The 16,593-nt window shown below is 33.7% G+C and overlaps 1 long non-coding RNA gene across 2 annotated transcripts in view; it reads left to right on the forward strand.

The window, feature by feature from the left end:
- The window catches only part of LINC02820 (long intergenic non-protein coding RNA 2820), a 172,109-nt gene that overhangs the window by 18,224 nt on the left and 137,292 nt on the right, over nt 1-16,593 (forward strand). For both annotated transcript variants that reach the window (NR_183553.1, NR_183554.1), the window contains exon 2: nt 6,230-6,477. This is a non-coding gene — a long non-coding RNA (long intergenic non-protein coding RNA 2820). The remainder of the gene's footprint in view (nt 1-6,229; nt 6,478-16,593) is intronic.

Consider the following 16,593-nt stretch of genomic DNA (forward strand, 5'->3'; position numbering starts at 1 on the left):
CCACAGATTAAAGAGCACAGAATTTGAAGCTAGGCTGATCCTATTTGGAATCCCAGTTCTATCTCTAAGTTACCTAACCTATGTTAAGGCTCAGTCTCCTCGTCTATAAAATAAATGAATGCAAAACTTGAAAAGTTGTTATGCTGTTATACAGAGTAAGTGATGTAGTAAATGCAAAATGTCTTATATTATCTGTGGCAGATATTATATGTTCAATAAGTGATAGCTGGTGTTACTTGTATTGTTATGCATTCAGTGGTAATGGATATTTCCAGAGAGACATTTTGAAGTAAAAAATTGTCATCTGTGATGCTATTGAAAATATATTTAATGACTGGCAGTCAACATATGGATCAGCAGCATAGAAATGACATTTTTAAATAGAATTGGATCCTTTTTTAAATTTTGGAATAAACAACTCAGGATCAAAGAACTTGAGAAGAATTTCAGTGGGGAAATGAAAAGTGGCCAAAGCTTTGAAAAATAAGCTCCGGCCGGGCACGGTGGCTCACGCCTGTAATCCCAGGACTTTGGGAGGCCGAGGCGGGTGGATCACGAGGTCAGGAGATCGAGACCAACCTGGCTAACACAGTGAAACCCCGTCTGTACTAAAAATACAAAAAATTAGCTGGGCGTGGTGGTGGGCGCCTGTAGTCCCAGTTGCTCGGGAGGCTGAGGCAGGAGAATGGCATGAACCCGTGAGGCGGAGGTTGCAGTGAGCCGAGATCGCGCCACTGCACTCCAGCCTGGGTGACAGAGCAAGACTCCGTCTCAAAAAAAAAAAAAAAAAAAAAGAAAGAAAGAAAGAAAGAAAAATAAGCTCCATGATAAACAGAATGAAAGTAATGTTACTAGGTATTTTTTGTTTCCTTAAGTCTAGAGTTTCTGCATAGTTCCCATAATATAGTTATTAAGGGCACAGGTTCTGGGGTCAGCATACCTGGATATGACCCACTTACTATTTCTATGATGTTAGATGTTACTCTCCTCTTTGCTTCCATTCCCTTACCCAATATTATAAAACTAGCTTAATAATACTCCACAGAGTAAATTTTTATGCTTTCCTACTACGTTAATACATATAAAGTGTTTAAAATAGTACCTACACAGAATAGGTAGTCAATAAATTTAGCTAATAGAATTATTTAGACAGAACAAGGATTTATATTCTTATCTTACTTGTAAGTACAGAATTCAAAATAGGGCTGTAAGAAATTTTCCTCATATAACTTACATTTCTGTATCTTATATAAATCTGTTTTGTCTTTGCATTTTACACGTCGATCAGCATAAAAACCAAACTAGAGATTAATATAGTAGATCTACAGTATTTAATTTCTTATAATTTACATATTACATTTTAATAATAAAAGCAAATAAATATCAAAACATTAATGTTCTTATGATCAAGGACATTCCACTCTACCTTTAAAAAAATTTAATACCTGCTGTTTCCTGCTACATTGTATGCTATAAGTTTGACGGGTATTGACTCAAAGCATCTTTTTCATAATTCCCAAAACCAAAAACTTAGACAATGAGTTTTTTTTTGTAATCTACTTGATAGAAAAACTCAATATGATAAAAAACAATTTGATTATAAAACATGCTCCGAAATAACATGATAATTATAGTCTTTTTTGTTAACTCAGTATAAATGCTTACATGTGTATGTCAGAATGAGCTAGGTTATGCTGTAGTAACAAACAACCCTCAAATCTAGGGGCTTAGAACAACGTGTCCACTATGGTTTGACATAGTCACCTAAGAAGCTAGGTTGATAGACTGCCCGTCACAAATGCTGCTGGCTGTCATGTCAGAGGAGTAGAGAAAGCTCTGGATGATTTTTCATTAATAATTGATACTTGAACTTAGAAATGACACCATGATTCCACTGACAACCAGAACTAGTTACATGGCTCCTCCCCAACACAAGAAGTATAATCCTACTGGGTGTCTAGTAGGGAAGAGAAATATAAATATTTGGTAAATAGCGCTAATGATTAGTATATTATATTTCACTGCAGAAATATTACTATGGTGATTTTATATTTAAGACCCAGAAAACTGTTGTCATCTTGTATATTATATATCATAAATTCCATACAATTTTTATAAAATCTGAAATGTTTTCATTCCAACAAGACAATCTTTTCAGATATGAAATTAAGAATTAATTCTATGTTGAGTTCTAGGGACCCAAGGAAAAATTAGACATGGTCTCTACTTGGTAGAACTCAGAGTCCAGTGAGAGAGTAAGGCATGTAGCCAAAACTTTCAAAGGAATGCATAATGTATTACATTAGAGGTCTGATGGGAGTGTGATTGCAGTACAGAGGAGGGAGTGAAGAGATAGGCCTGATCTAAATAGAATGACTTCATAGGTATTGCATTTAAGCTAGGATTTGATGCATGGTAAGCATTGAGGGTATAATTAGCATTTCTGATATATTTTAATTAACTTTTTATTGGCAGACTCTATGTTTTGTTTATACAATATGTACATATTTTTTATTGTATATGCAATGTTTGGGGTGCAATAAATATGATGGTGGTTCCATGATAGAGAAAGATAAGTTTGGGAAAAGCGTTACGCCCCATCATGAGGGAATTGGGCATGCTGTAGGAAAGGAGTTTTAGACCAGGCACGGTGGCTCATGCCTGTAGTCCCAGCACTTTGGGAGGCTGAGGCGGGCGGATCACCTGAGGTCCAGAGTTCGAGACCAGCCTGACCAACATGGAGAAACCTCGTCTGTACTAAAAATACAAAATTAGCCAGGTGTAGTGGTGCATGCCTGTAATCCCAGCTACTCGGGAGACTGAGGCAGGAGAATCGCTTGAACCAGGGAGGTGGAGGTTGCGGTGAGCCGCGATCATGCCATTGCACTCCAGCCTGGGAAACAAGAGCAAAACTCCATCTAAAACAAACAAACAAACAAACAAACAAAATTAATGTTATTCTGAGGGTAAAGATAATCAACTAAGTTTTTAAAGAAGGAACATAAAATGTTCTGTGCTTTCTGAAGGTCCTTTTGTGCCAGAGGATCAATGTAGGAATGTCAAACTCATTAGAAAAAGTGATTTATGAAAAGAGAAGTAAATTATACTGTTTTTATATTTCAGTTGTTTTAGTAATGTCTTTTCAATATAGTGTGTATATTCAATATTAAACCTAGCTGAGAACTCAAATCTTAAACATCGATGTGCTTGTCTGAACAGAAGGTTATACAGAGGAATTCCTCATGTTGATGTTTAGGTAGGTTGACTACAACTTTTCCTTATGCATGTTGCATTCCTGGAGTCCTATCGAGTGTCAAATACATTTTGCCACTGTCATTCTTCTGTATTTTAATTCTTGAAATATGTGAATAGCATATGATGGATAAATTTTGTACAATAAGTCATGTATACACCTCCTTAAAAACCACAGCTGTACTTGCATCAATACTTGAAGTGAAATTGCAGGAAAATCTCTGAAATGAGGAAAACATAAAAAATTGAACAGTTTACATTTATAGAAAAAATACTTCATTTAGAAAAATATATGAACTACTTAAGAAATATTGAAGTCAAAATTTGTATTATATTTTGCACATTGTATATAGTTATAGCATTTATAAAATGTATGATTCAATAAGATGATATGTTACTAACATATTGAGATTATTTTAAAGTATATACCAGCCTATATATTTTTTAATAATACATAATGTATAAAACACTTTTCTATACATTCAGGTCAGTTACTAAGCATAAAATCATTGAGGTAGTAAAAGGGTAAATTATGTTGCATCTTTATCACACAGACATCAGTTGAACAGTTTATTGCAGTTAACCAATGAAATAAAACTAACCAATATAAAAATACTATGATATGACTTTTTATTGCAGAAAACATTATAGAAGACCTTACTTTAATGAAAAAAAGTGACTTTTTGGGGAAAGTGGTAGTTTACTATCTATGAAATAGAATTTCCTTTCTACTTGTTTCATTCTATAGGCCAACATGAAATGGAATAATGAGATGAATTAGAATTTGTATTGAAATGCATATGAATTGAATGCCTGGTTTTGCTACTTATTAACTATAGCCTTGAGTGAGTTGGTTAAACTCCCAAGTCTCTGTTTATGCATGTGTAAATTGAGAATTATGACAGCTAGTATAAGGAGTTGTGTATATGAAGAAAATGATGCAAAGTCAATGCAATGAATAGGAGCCATTGATAGATGAAGAGAACTGTAATACCATCATGATTCCGCTGTTAATGGCCTGCCACCCTCTCTCACAGAGATCCCATCTTCTTTATATTTATCATCCTTTAGGTAGAACAAAATCTCACTTTCACAAAAACTTAAAACAAAAACACTTCAATGAGGGGCATCACATTGCGTTTATTTTAATAAAAATCAGCTGATACATCAATGGAACAAGTTGTACTACAAAGACAAATCTGGGATATCAATTGGAAACAAAATTCCATGGAGATGATGTAGTACAAAAAAATAGCAGTCTGAACTTGTTATCAAAGCTTCACCTCAGATTGGCCTCATAACTTCATAGGTGCTTCAAATACTTATACTCAAATACTTATACTCAAAGGTGATATGTTCTCTTTCTCCTCCAATATCTCCTCCAGCCTCACATCTTTCACTGTCCCATCCAAGAAGTTTACATCCATTAAATTATAAAGACCATTGTCCTGTATTTGAACTTGCTGATCACTTTTTTTCTGCTTTTGTTTATAACTTTGGGTTCTATGATGCCATATTCTCCTGGTTCTACTGACACTGCTCTGATCATCTATTTTTTATTCCTATTCTAAGCATTGTTTCTCTGGTTATCCTTTAAATTTTTGTGATTCCCAGGATATTATATCTTATATTTGCCTTATAATTTTTGGGTTACTGTATCTAAGTTTTATGATTTCAACCATCATCTACATGTTCATTCCTGGAAATATTTGCACCTTTATTAGTTTCCTATTGCTGTTGTATCAGCTACAAATGTAATAGCTTAAATAACACAAATTTATTATCTTACAGTTCTTCAGGTAAGAATTCCAAAATCAGTTTCATGAGGCTATAGTCAAGGTACTGGCAAGGCTGCTTCCTTCTGTAGGTTAGAAGGGAAAATTAATTTCCTGGCCTTTCCCCATTTTTACCTCCCAAGCCTACATTCCTTAACTCATGGTCCCTTCCTCCTTCTTCAAAGGCAGCAGCATAGAATTTTCTCTCTTTTCAGGTCATTGGTTCCATTCTGATCCTCCTGCAACCTTCTTGTAAGGATCTTTGCAATTACATTGAGGCCAACTGGATAATACAAGATAGGCTTCCCATCTCAATATCCTCAATCACATCTGCAAAGTCCCTTTTACTATATAAGGTTCCAAGGACTAGGTTGTGGACATATTTAGGAGGCCATATTTCAGCCTACCGTACTTCCCAGGAGTCTGATGAACATCTACAGCTAGATGTTTTCCTGTCATTTCAAATTCAACTTCTCAAAAACTGAATTCACCATACTATCCTGTCTCATAGACCCAGTTCTCCCTTTGTATTCCATGTCTCAGTTGATGGGAAAGCCATCACCTCATTCACCCAAATGAGAAATCTAGGAGTCATCTTTGACTTTTCCTCTTTTTTCTCTACATATAGAACATTATGGCTTCCAACTTTAAATTTTAAATTTCCATCCCACTAATACTGCCCTATTTTAAGTCAGAAATGTTCGCTTACTGGCCTATAGTCTTTCACTTCCAAATTTATCTCATTTGCCATCATCTGAATAATATATATGAAAGCAAATCAGATCATTCTATCCCCTCACTTTTATGCCCCTCTCTCCTGCCATGTCTATTACCTACAAGCTAAAAATTAAACTTTTAAAATCAATCTATTTTCAATGTGTGCTACTAAAATATAATCACTTGAAGACAAAGCTTGGGATTTATGTTTTGCCCTTAGCACATGACAATACCTGTCTTTGCTCAAGAAATGTTTCTTGATTTGAACTGAAGCTCTTTATCATGAAATAAAAAGGTTCTCTATGGTGGGATTGTACCTTTCTCTCTAATCTCTCCTTATTTGCACTGCAATAACATAATTTATACACAAAAGCAAATATCACTATTTATTCATGAAAACAACCTCCTCCCTTTCTGAGCCAAAAGATAGAATACATTTCCTAGCCTCCCTTGCAGATTGATATGACTGTGTTACTGTTTTTTAGGGAAATGGAATTGAAGACAACTACTTCTAGAATTGGTGCATGGAAGCTTCTCATAGGTGATTAGCCACACTCTTCTTCTGTCAACCTGGTGCAGAAAAGCTTGAAGACCTTGGAAATCACATATTGATGATGGAGGAGATACAAGAATGAAGGACCCTGGGTTCCTGAATCAACACTCTAAGAAGAGACTCCTTGAAATCAAGAGCACTCATTTTGACATTGCAAACGGAAAAATTCACTTCTATCAGGTTTGAACCAATATATAGTTTAGGGTTTTTAAAAAATAACTGTTAGCATGACTTTAACTAATACACATGCCATACAGGATCAGACCTCTGTGACTTTGCTTTTACAGTCTGCTCTGTCTGGAGGGGAGTTTCATCTTTGCCATCCTTAATGATATAGCATAGACGCTATGTCCTCCAGAAACTTCCTTGGCACCCACATTTTTGGATGGAAGCTTCTTGTCATTTCCATGGAAAGTAAGCTTAATCTTGTCAATGTGGTTCAACATCAAATTTGAATTATGTTCACCTATCTTGTTTCCAACCTTCCCAACTAAAATTTAAATTTCATAAAGGACTGAAAGCAATCATTTTGTATCTCCAGCCAGGAACACAATGCCAAGCTTGGCTCCTCCAAACTTGGCATTGTGTTCCTGGCTGGAGATACAAAATGATTGCAATAAGATTGCAATAAATGCTTATTGGACGGACCTCAACACAATTTCCTTACCTATAAAAATAACATAATAATTCAGACCCCATGTGGTTACTGTGATGATTAAGTGAGGCAATATATGCAAAGCACCTGGCACATAGCAGGTACTTAATAAATGTTCGTGTTCATCCCTTCACAGAGCCTTCCTTAACTACATTGGTTCAGGCTTTCATCTTTTATCTTAATTGTCTCCAGTCAGGATTACATTTTGGTTCTCAGTTCTTTGATAATTTTATGTATGCATTAATTTTCCCTCCCTATCCAAACTGTAAACTCCTTCTGGAAACAGCTGCTTCTTATCCTTCTTTCTAGCCTTATTGCACCTTGGACAGAGGAGGTGTTCAATATACACTTTTTTAAGTTGACTGAGTACTCTCTGTATGTGTTCTATTATGTTACATTAAAAACAGCTCTAAAGCCAGGTCTCTATGACAGCAAACAAATCTCTGGCCAAGAAATAAGCCAGTGCATAAAACATGCTGTCAACTTGGCTTTCATACTAACCTATGCAGGTGTGTCTCTGTTTAGGGTGTAGAATATTATGAAATATCAGTGCCAATTTAGTGTGGGGAGTGAAGAGAGGATTGTGTACGTACGTAACAGATAATCTGTAAAAATGCTGGATTCACTGGCTGTACTTAAGCAGCATATGTACATATGCACTGACTCTAGAACCGTATGTTTTGCCATCACTTCACATGGTGTCACTCTATTTGACATATCCTAAACTCCTCCAGGAATATGTCCTCTTTTAAACTGATCCTTCTGTGACAATAATATTCTTCATTCATTAGCACAATTTACCTGTGAGGTGCCAGAGTTGCAATATCAAAGATATTCTGGGAGGTGGTTCAGTTTACTGAGTGTGTTGGAAATAAACGGGTATTCAGGGTTTAGATGGGGATGAGCTAAAGGTCATCTCAATAATATATTATAAAGAATGAGAGCGTGAGAGCACAGACTCTTGAACCAGACTACCTGAGTTTTATTTCTGGTATTGTCCCTTGCTGTGGGATGCAAATTTGTTCAGGTTATTCAAGCATTCAAGAAGTATTTATTCAGTGCCTAATATTTTTCAGTCCAAGAAAGAGCAGTAAACAACACAAACAAAGTTTCTTTCAGTCATGGAGCTTACATTCCAATGGAAGAAGGCAAACAATAGACAACAACAACAAAAGTATGTAGAGTGTTATATGATGAAATATTCTGAGAAAAAACGGAAGAGAAACAAGGAAGATGGATAAAGACTGCAAAGTAAATAGGTTTGAATTTTAACAGGGGTACCAGGGAAGTCCTTATTGAAATGACGGAATGTGAAAAATGACCTTAAGGGAGAGAGGGAGAACATTCTGCAGGCATTGGGTAGAGAGGTTGCTAAGAAAGGAATAGCAGTTGGAAAACTGAGCAACCTAAAAGAAGAGGAAGATGGAGCATTTATAGGCACTTTAGGCCATTTCCAGGACTTCGGTTTTATTCTGAGTGATTTGGAAAGCTATGAAAATGTTTTGACAGAGGAGTGGCTTGTGTGCTAACAGTAGAATGAAGTGGCAAGAAGGCAGAGAAGCAGGAGACCAGTTAGAAGCCTACTGCAAAAATTCAACCAAGAGTTTAAAATGGGGCTTTGACTAGAAGGTAGTAATGGTGATAATAATAAGAGGTTAGATTTGAGGATATATGTTTGAAAATAGAGCTAATAGGGTTTGCAGATGAATAGCTTGTAGAGAATGAGAGAACACAGTCAAGGATAACTCAAAGATTTGGGGCCTGATTAAATAGGAAGATAGAATCACCATTAAGTGACAGAAGGCTATGGAGCATAGAAGCTATCTCAGTTTTTGGTGTTTGGAAAGCCTGTGAGACAGTGAGATATATGAATCCAAGACACTGAGATATATGAATCTTAAGATCAGAGCAAAAAGTCCAAATCAGCCATATGAGTAATTAAATCAGTTAAGCAAAAATTTAGTACTGTATTTAAAGCCTTAATATTAGATGAGATTAGCAAGTGGATATGAGTACCCACAAAAGTTAAGAGTCTGCAAGGTGTACTGTGATAAGAGCTAAGTCAGTGGTCCATTGTGATGATTTAATAAGTTATATATGTAAAATTCTTAAGGCATTATCTGATACATAGCAATTCTTCCATAACTATCAGATGTGCTAGTTTTCCTTTAAACACAATAGAATGAAAGAGTCTTGTTTAGATATTATGTATCATAAATTATATTATTAAATGAAGACTCAATATTATCTGACACAAACTCACTTCTCACTTATCTTCTTCTCTAAAGCATATTTTTCTATAGTAGTCTCATATAATAAATTAAAATGTTGAGTAGTATTGGAATTAGAGTTGAGCACTGATTTCACGTGTTCTAACCTTTCTTCCCGTATGCACTATAATAGCATTTGTTTAGTGTTTTATTCTTCTATGTTGCATGACTCTCTCATTTCACTATCTCCATATGTTATAATTTGTTTGTGTGTTTTACCCACTATACTATGAAATCCTTATTTTTTTTTGTAGTCCCAGTGCATAATACCAGCCTGGAACCCAAACACTACTCAATAAATATTTGGTGAATGTAGAATGAATAGGTAGATATTATGTGCTAGACATTGCACTAGGGCTCTTTGATAGTTTTCTTTTAAACTTATTTAATACCTGCAAGAGTCTACCAAGACTAGTATTAGTAATCCCATTTAAAAGATTTAACAATGTCTTCACAGACACTAATGAATATGCTTACAGTAACAACCTAGTTAGTTGCAGTGCTTCTATTATACCACAGGGATACCCTATGGCCCAAGTGTTCCCTGCTGTTTCCAAAAGTTGCTTTCCAATGCAAAAGTTACTTTTGTAATATTTATGAAAGATAATAATTGATCTTTCACTGAAAAAGGTAAAAAAAAAAGGAAGGATCACCAATTATAAAAAAACCTGTGCTATCATTATTACAACCTTGATTGTTAGCATCCCTTTGATATATTGAGCCAAAAGAAGATAAATTGTAATAATATGTAAATAGATACTTCATATATATGAATATATATTATATGTAACAGTATATATGATTTTTGGACAATCGTAAACCTACTGGAAAGTTAAAGGCACACAGCACACAGAATACTTTTTCCTGAACTTACAAACACTTCAATGTGCATTTCTTACATTCTCCTACATAACCAAAATATTAGCATAGCAATCAGGAAATTAGCATAGGCACATTATTACCATTTCATTCTCAGTCATTCAGATTTCACCAGTTGTCTCAACAATGTCCAAAACAGACAAAAAATCCAGTTCAGAATCATGTGCTGCATTTACTTTTCATATCACTTTAGTCTTTTTAAACATGGAACAATTCCTCAGTTGCTCTTTGACTTTCATGATGATGAGACTTGAAGATTTCAAGCCATTTTCTGTGTTGAATATCTCTCAAAATTGGTTTGTCTAATATTTCCCATTATTAGATTCAGGTTGTACTTCACTGAAATGCCACTACATTCTTCTCATTGCATTCTACTAGGTGACAGGCAATTTCAGTCTCATGCTAATGATTTTTATTAGTTGATTAAGGTAGGCTTCTCCACTGGAAAGTTAATTAATATATATGTTAATAGTAAATACTTACAGCAATAGTAAGTATTTTGTGCTTATTACGTATATTAGTCCATTCTCACACTGCTATAAAGATACTACCTGGGACTGGGTAACTTATAAACAAAAAAGGTTTAATTCACTCACCATTCTGCATGGCTGGGGAGGCCTCAAGAATCTTATAATCATGGTGGAAGGTGAAAGGGAAGCAAGGCACATCTTACATGGCCTCAGGAGAGAGAGAGCAAAAGAGAAGTGCCACATTTTAAAACCATCAGATATCATGAGAACTGATTCACTATAAAGAGAGCAGCATGGGAGAAACTGCCCCCATAATCAGATCACCTCCCACCAGGTCTCTCCCTCAAAACATGGAGATTACAATTCAGGATGATATTTGGGTGGGGACACAGAGCCAAATTATATCATATGTCAATACCCCATTCCTCAACAAACTTTCAATTAATTTATCTCATTATACCAATTTGGTCTCAGGGCTTTTTTTTATTATTTCCAATTGGTTATAATATTTTATTCATTATTTTTTATGCCCAAATTGTTATAGATTTGACACTGGGAGCCCCTTTCAAATAGACTTCTGTATCTGTTTGACATGTTCTCATCATTCATGAGCACCTCCTGCTTTCTGCTAGATGAAAATGTTTTCGGCTCATTTTGTGTTTTTCCTACCATGGCCTGGAAAAACAAAGAGAAGAGAAGTGAACAAGCAAGTAACATTTTTAAAGGTCAAAATGTACCTGCTTTTTTTCAAGCTTATTTTTAAAACACCCCTTATAAAATGTTTTTCTTTATTCTTGTTATGTACTTGAAATTTAATTGCAAAAATGTATAAGTCACTGCCTTTGATAAATTCAAACTTCCAGCGGTGATAGGCACAGAACAAGTCCACAGAGATTTTTTTTGTTCATCACAATTGCTACTTTGTGTATATAATTGCATTGTTTATCTAAACAAAAAGCAAAGAATTTTAGGTTTCAAAAGGTCCTATATGATTCAAGCCCTCTCCCATTACAGACATCGCTCTGTGAATTCTTGACTAAGTGTGACCCAAAGTTTCCTTGAACCATCACAGAGACAACTTCACTACTTTTTGAGATCCCCTTATCCATGTTAGATAATTCAGATTTTCTAGAATTGAATCAAATGTATATTTGCCAGGCTTCTACCCATTAGTAGTAGTTTTACATGTTGGTGCAAGACAAAAAAAAAATCACCTTTTCTGCATAGTAGCCATTCAAATCTTAGAGAAAGCTTTGATTCCTGCCTTACTAGCCTTCAAGTGATCCTTGCTAATGGTGAAACATATCAAATTTCCTCATTCTTCACAGTACATGTTTCCTTGGTCCTTTATTTCATTATATCATAGAAGTATGTTAGTCTACTAAAAGGATAGAACATACTTTTAAGACTATAAACTACTTGAATTTAATAATATAAAATGGTTCTCTTATATGTAGGATAACTAAGAAACTGTCTGCTTTATTTCAATGAAAATTAATCTCAAGGAAAATTGGGACCCATCTTGCTACAAATTCAGAAATTTCTTGGGCTGCACCTGACATGCACTGGAAAGTCTACAGTCTACTATCACTATATGGATACATTGCAACAATAATTTTTTAGTATTTTAATAATGCATTGCATTTCCAATAGGTTATTTGTTTTATATATGAACATATTATTTTTTAAATATTATGTTGAATGTTAAAAGTTCATCTTGAATGAAATTTTTAATTTTAAGTAAATTCCCAGACATAGGTGAAGAAGGAAAACTGAGAACATTTCTTAGCACTAGAAGAACTTTAATTAAAGTCCAGACCCATGAGCCCTCTGTTGAGAAGAGCTTACTCCTGATCCCTAATTTGAAGCCTTGGGATTTTAGAAAAAAATGTTATTCAATTCCACTGTCATGGAGGTCCAGAGGGTGACTGCAAATTATGGTGAGAAAAACATTGGGAGAACATATCAAAATGTCACAAAACAATTCTCAGTGTGAGCAAGTACCTACCAGATATCTAAATGGTTTTTAAAAGAAAATGCCTCTAGGAAAACTCAATGACATCAGTTTATGACTTTCTCTAAACCAGAAAGAGCCTCAAGTAATTATGAGAAAACAGTAGATTGTACTCTAAGCTCTGATTTGAGTAATGACTTTTTAAACTGTGATTGAGAAATGATTGCACCCTTCTGGGTTACTTTGACTAGAATGTAATGAATATTGGTGAGATTATGCCACAGTTTTTACGAATGTAACATAGTAAGTTGTGTTCATGATGTGTAGTTTTATGTTTATGAGTTTTTAAATTGGCTCCTGACATCTGGGTTAGAAAATATAGAGAGAAGTGGGAGGAGAAAAAAATAGTGGCATTTCTATGAGAAGAATACAAAACAAAGATAAAAAAATTAAAACCTATTAGTGACATTGCTGCTCTAAACAATTCATGTTTGTTATTCCATCTCAAAAACAAAGCCGGAAAAAGATGCATCATTCTAGTTTCCTATAAAGATAACTTCTAAAGACAGATGTGGAGTATATAACTCAGTTATTTTTTTCAAGAAAAAAATGAAGAACCTAGTCTTTTCAGGTGAGCAAGCAAAACACTAGCATTTATGTATATACCTTCTTCAGATTTTTCAACACATTTTAATATATTTTGTATTTTTTTCATTTTTAAATGACACTTTTACATAAAGAAGATTGTCTCCTAAATTAAAGAAAGTCTTCTCAAAATGATAGCATGTTTGGTAGTGAATATGGTAGTCAGACACTGGTTATATCATTTTACCATTATTAACTATGTAATTTCATTTTGTACTTTTGATAGGTGTGATTAAAAGTTTTTTTAATAATTAATCCTTAGGCAGGAATAAAGCTTCTCTTAGTTTATTTCATATAAAATAATATCATAGACTAATATATATCCCTACTTTCTGTTAAGGTTATTTAAATTTGGCAAAGGAAATAATAATATATATTTTAGCATATTTTATAATGAACATTAATATCTTTCTGACTAAAGAATAATATTCCAAAATTGTTCTTATAAAGCTAAAACACAAAAACAGAAATGTCAGTATCATGACCAAGAATAAAAACAGAATAGGTATGTAGTAGCTTGCTTCAAAAGCTACTCTTAAATAGTCTACTGCAAAATAATGGGAAAATTTTTATCTAATTATTGAGCCAACCAAATGCTCCTATAGTGAAGGTTTATATAGATAAATATTAGAAATTTACATTTTTCCAAATTTCTATATTTGTAAATTTCCACCTTCATTGAAAGTAGATGAATTTTCAATATAAAGAATTTCAAAGATTTAAAATAAATGTATTATACTAATGATCAGAGAAAAGTAAAAATTCTAAACAAAAATTAATTTAAAGGAACAATTGTGAAAAAGGAGCAGGTTCTTTGGAATAACTATTTTCCTTATTAGCCATTTATCTATCATTGTTAGTAGCTTGAATTTAATTCCAGAATGTATCATATATTTAAAAAATCCAAAGTAATTATAGAAACTTGATATAGTAACTTTTGTTCTGAGTGATTAGAACTATACTGAAAGGAACTTTTAAGATTTCATGGATTTACAGTTTAGTGCTATTTGTTTTAAGTGCCCAGTTCTGCTGTATGTCTCCTGCCATTTGTGTGCTGGAGACATTCTGCTTTTCTCCCCTAATGAAGTGCATTAGTCAAGAGCTCAGTGACCTCTGACAAGGCTCAGTATGGGATTATAGCCTGACAGGAGGCAGCTGGAAGAAATAGTTGACAATTCACACTTAAAGTAATCCCTGAAAATTGCATGGCAGTTATGAGGAAGTAACAGTTTGGCTCCCTTGTGAAAAAAAAAAAAAAAGGTAATAAAAGATATTTCAAGTAGAGTTTTTGGACCCTAACTATAGTTTCTGAATTAAGGCTTAATTTTCAAGTTCTGTAAGCACCAGTTAATAGGAAGAACATTTTCATGAATAGATTCAATCTACAATACTATTTCAAGCAGCTACCACTTTTAGTCCGTTGATAGAAAACTCATTTAGCCAATGGATTATCTATAATTGACTAACTTCTTTAATAGAGTTTTAACACACCTCACATGTAAAAACATTATCGGGGAGGCTCACAGAGAATAGTAGTTGTAAGCAGAAATATAAAATGATCATTTTCTGTAAAAATTATAGCAAGAAATCAATAATACAGATTTTTATATGTTGACTTGTATTTTTCTAACATGCTATTTTATTTAAAATGTGTTTTCTTTTCAAACAATAACTGCTCCACTATAATTTTGCTTGAAATCCCATTAATTTGTACGCTTAATGGCAAAAATATTTTGCAAAATAACTTTCAAAGATTACATATATATCATAGTAAATATGTTGTTATATAGAATTATTATATCTTACATTATAATCTATTACACAATACATAATTGAATAGCACACCTATATTTTAAAAATACAGATACTTTTTTAGTAACTTTTTTTCTGTCTATGTCCCAATATCAGATGTTTCTTTTTGATCTCTGTTTTATTTTCTTGCAGTTGTGATTACAATAATTTCCATAGAGAAATGAAAACATCAGAATGGTCTTTCTTTGGAAAACACACTGCTTGTTCTCTAACTTCAGATTTTCACTATGCACAATATGTGATGATTGACTTACACCCAGCAGGCACCCAATAAATGTGTGATGGGTTAAATTGAAAAAACATAGTATTACTCTCATAATTGTTCAACATTTCTATAAAATATAGTTTCCCTAGGCCATTCAACAAATATTGTCTGATATCCATTACGTGACAACCCTGCTGCTGAATGTAAAATTCAATTTTTTGGTCCATAAAACTGTTTTCACTTTCTGCTCAACTCATAGTTTAACCTCTAAATTCATTCATTTATAAGTCTACAGCACATTTTAAGAAAAATTAGGTTAATAAGTCTATACTTACTTAAATTAATCCCTACCTGTTTGTACCATTTATTGTGTAGAGATAGAGTGACCTACCTTCCAAACAAGCAAACACATGATGTTTCTAATTCTGTTTTTTTCTACCTGTAAACCTAGTGTCTAATTTATGCATCTTCTTTTAACATTTACACTTTCAGAATTTATTAGAGAACATTTTTTATTATGATCCTTATGAATGCCTATCATAATTTAGGCTAAATGTCCACAAGCTGGTTTGCATATTTTTATGTTGTGAAGGTGACAAAAAGGTAGGAGGTAGAGTATCTGCTCAAACATCAAAAAAGAATGCCTAAATTCTTTCTCAGATGCTTAACTTTGGGATGTGATAACTGCTTGAGTGTAGAGACAATTTAGGTCCCAGCAATAATAGAATGGCAGGACTGACTGTGCAGCAGCTGTGGAATAGCACAGCAGGTTCAATGGTCTCATGGGTCTCCTAAGGCATGTGTATTAAGAGTTTCTGATTTAGACCATGTGTCTCTTAGTTAAGAGAACTACTTGTTAGATGATCAAATTCAGAGTAGTAATCTTGGTTCAATATTACTCAAGGGGATGACAAAATCTTGCTGAATTTAGCTTTTCACTTCCTTGTTCTTAATTGATATTCTATTGAACAACATTAGCTAGAGGAATATCTGTTCTTTATTTATTGATTTGCATTTATTGAACTCTATTGAGAACAATATTATACCTATACTTGAGAAATTAGTCCTTGAAGTTTTATGGCTGCACACACACCAACTCACACCCATTTACAGTATTTCCTCTGCAGTGGTAGGTGTGGCTCCAAACTAGTTGTTAGTTGTGACATTTAGGCAATAAAAAAAAATACAAAAAGAGACTTTCAGACATATTGAGTTGTATTACATAAAAATTAAATTCACATCCAAATGCTGCTCAAAATGCCACATAAGCTTTTTAGCTACTGTTTTATAGTCTTTTTATTCCTTTTCTTACTTTACTTTAAAAATGTGTATGTACCTTTGATTGCTTTGCTCTATCATGCAAAGTATCAATAAACTTGTAAAATCTAGCTTTAAAACTATAAATT

This window comes from Homo sapiens, chromosome 12, assembly GCF_000001405.40.
Source record: "Homo sapiens chromosome 12, GRCh38.p14 Primary Assembly".
NCBI lineage: Eukaryota > Metazoa > Chordata > Mammalia > Primates > Hominidae > Homo > Homo sapiens.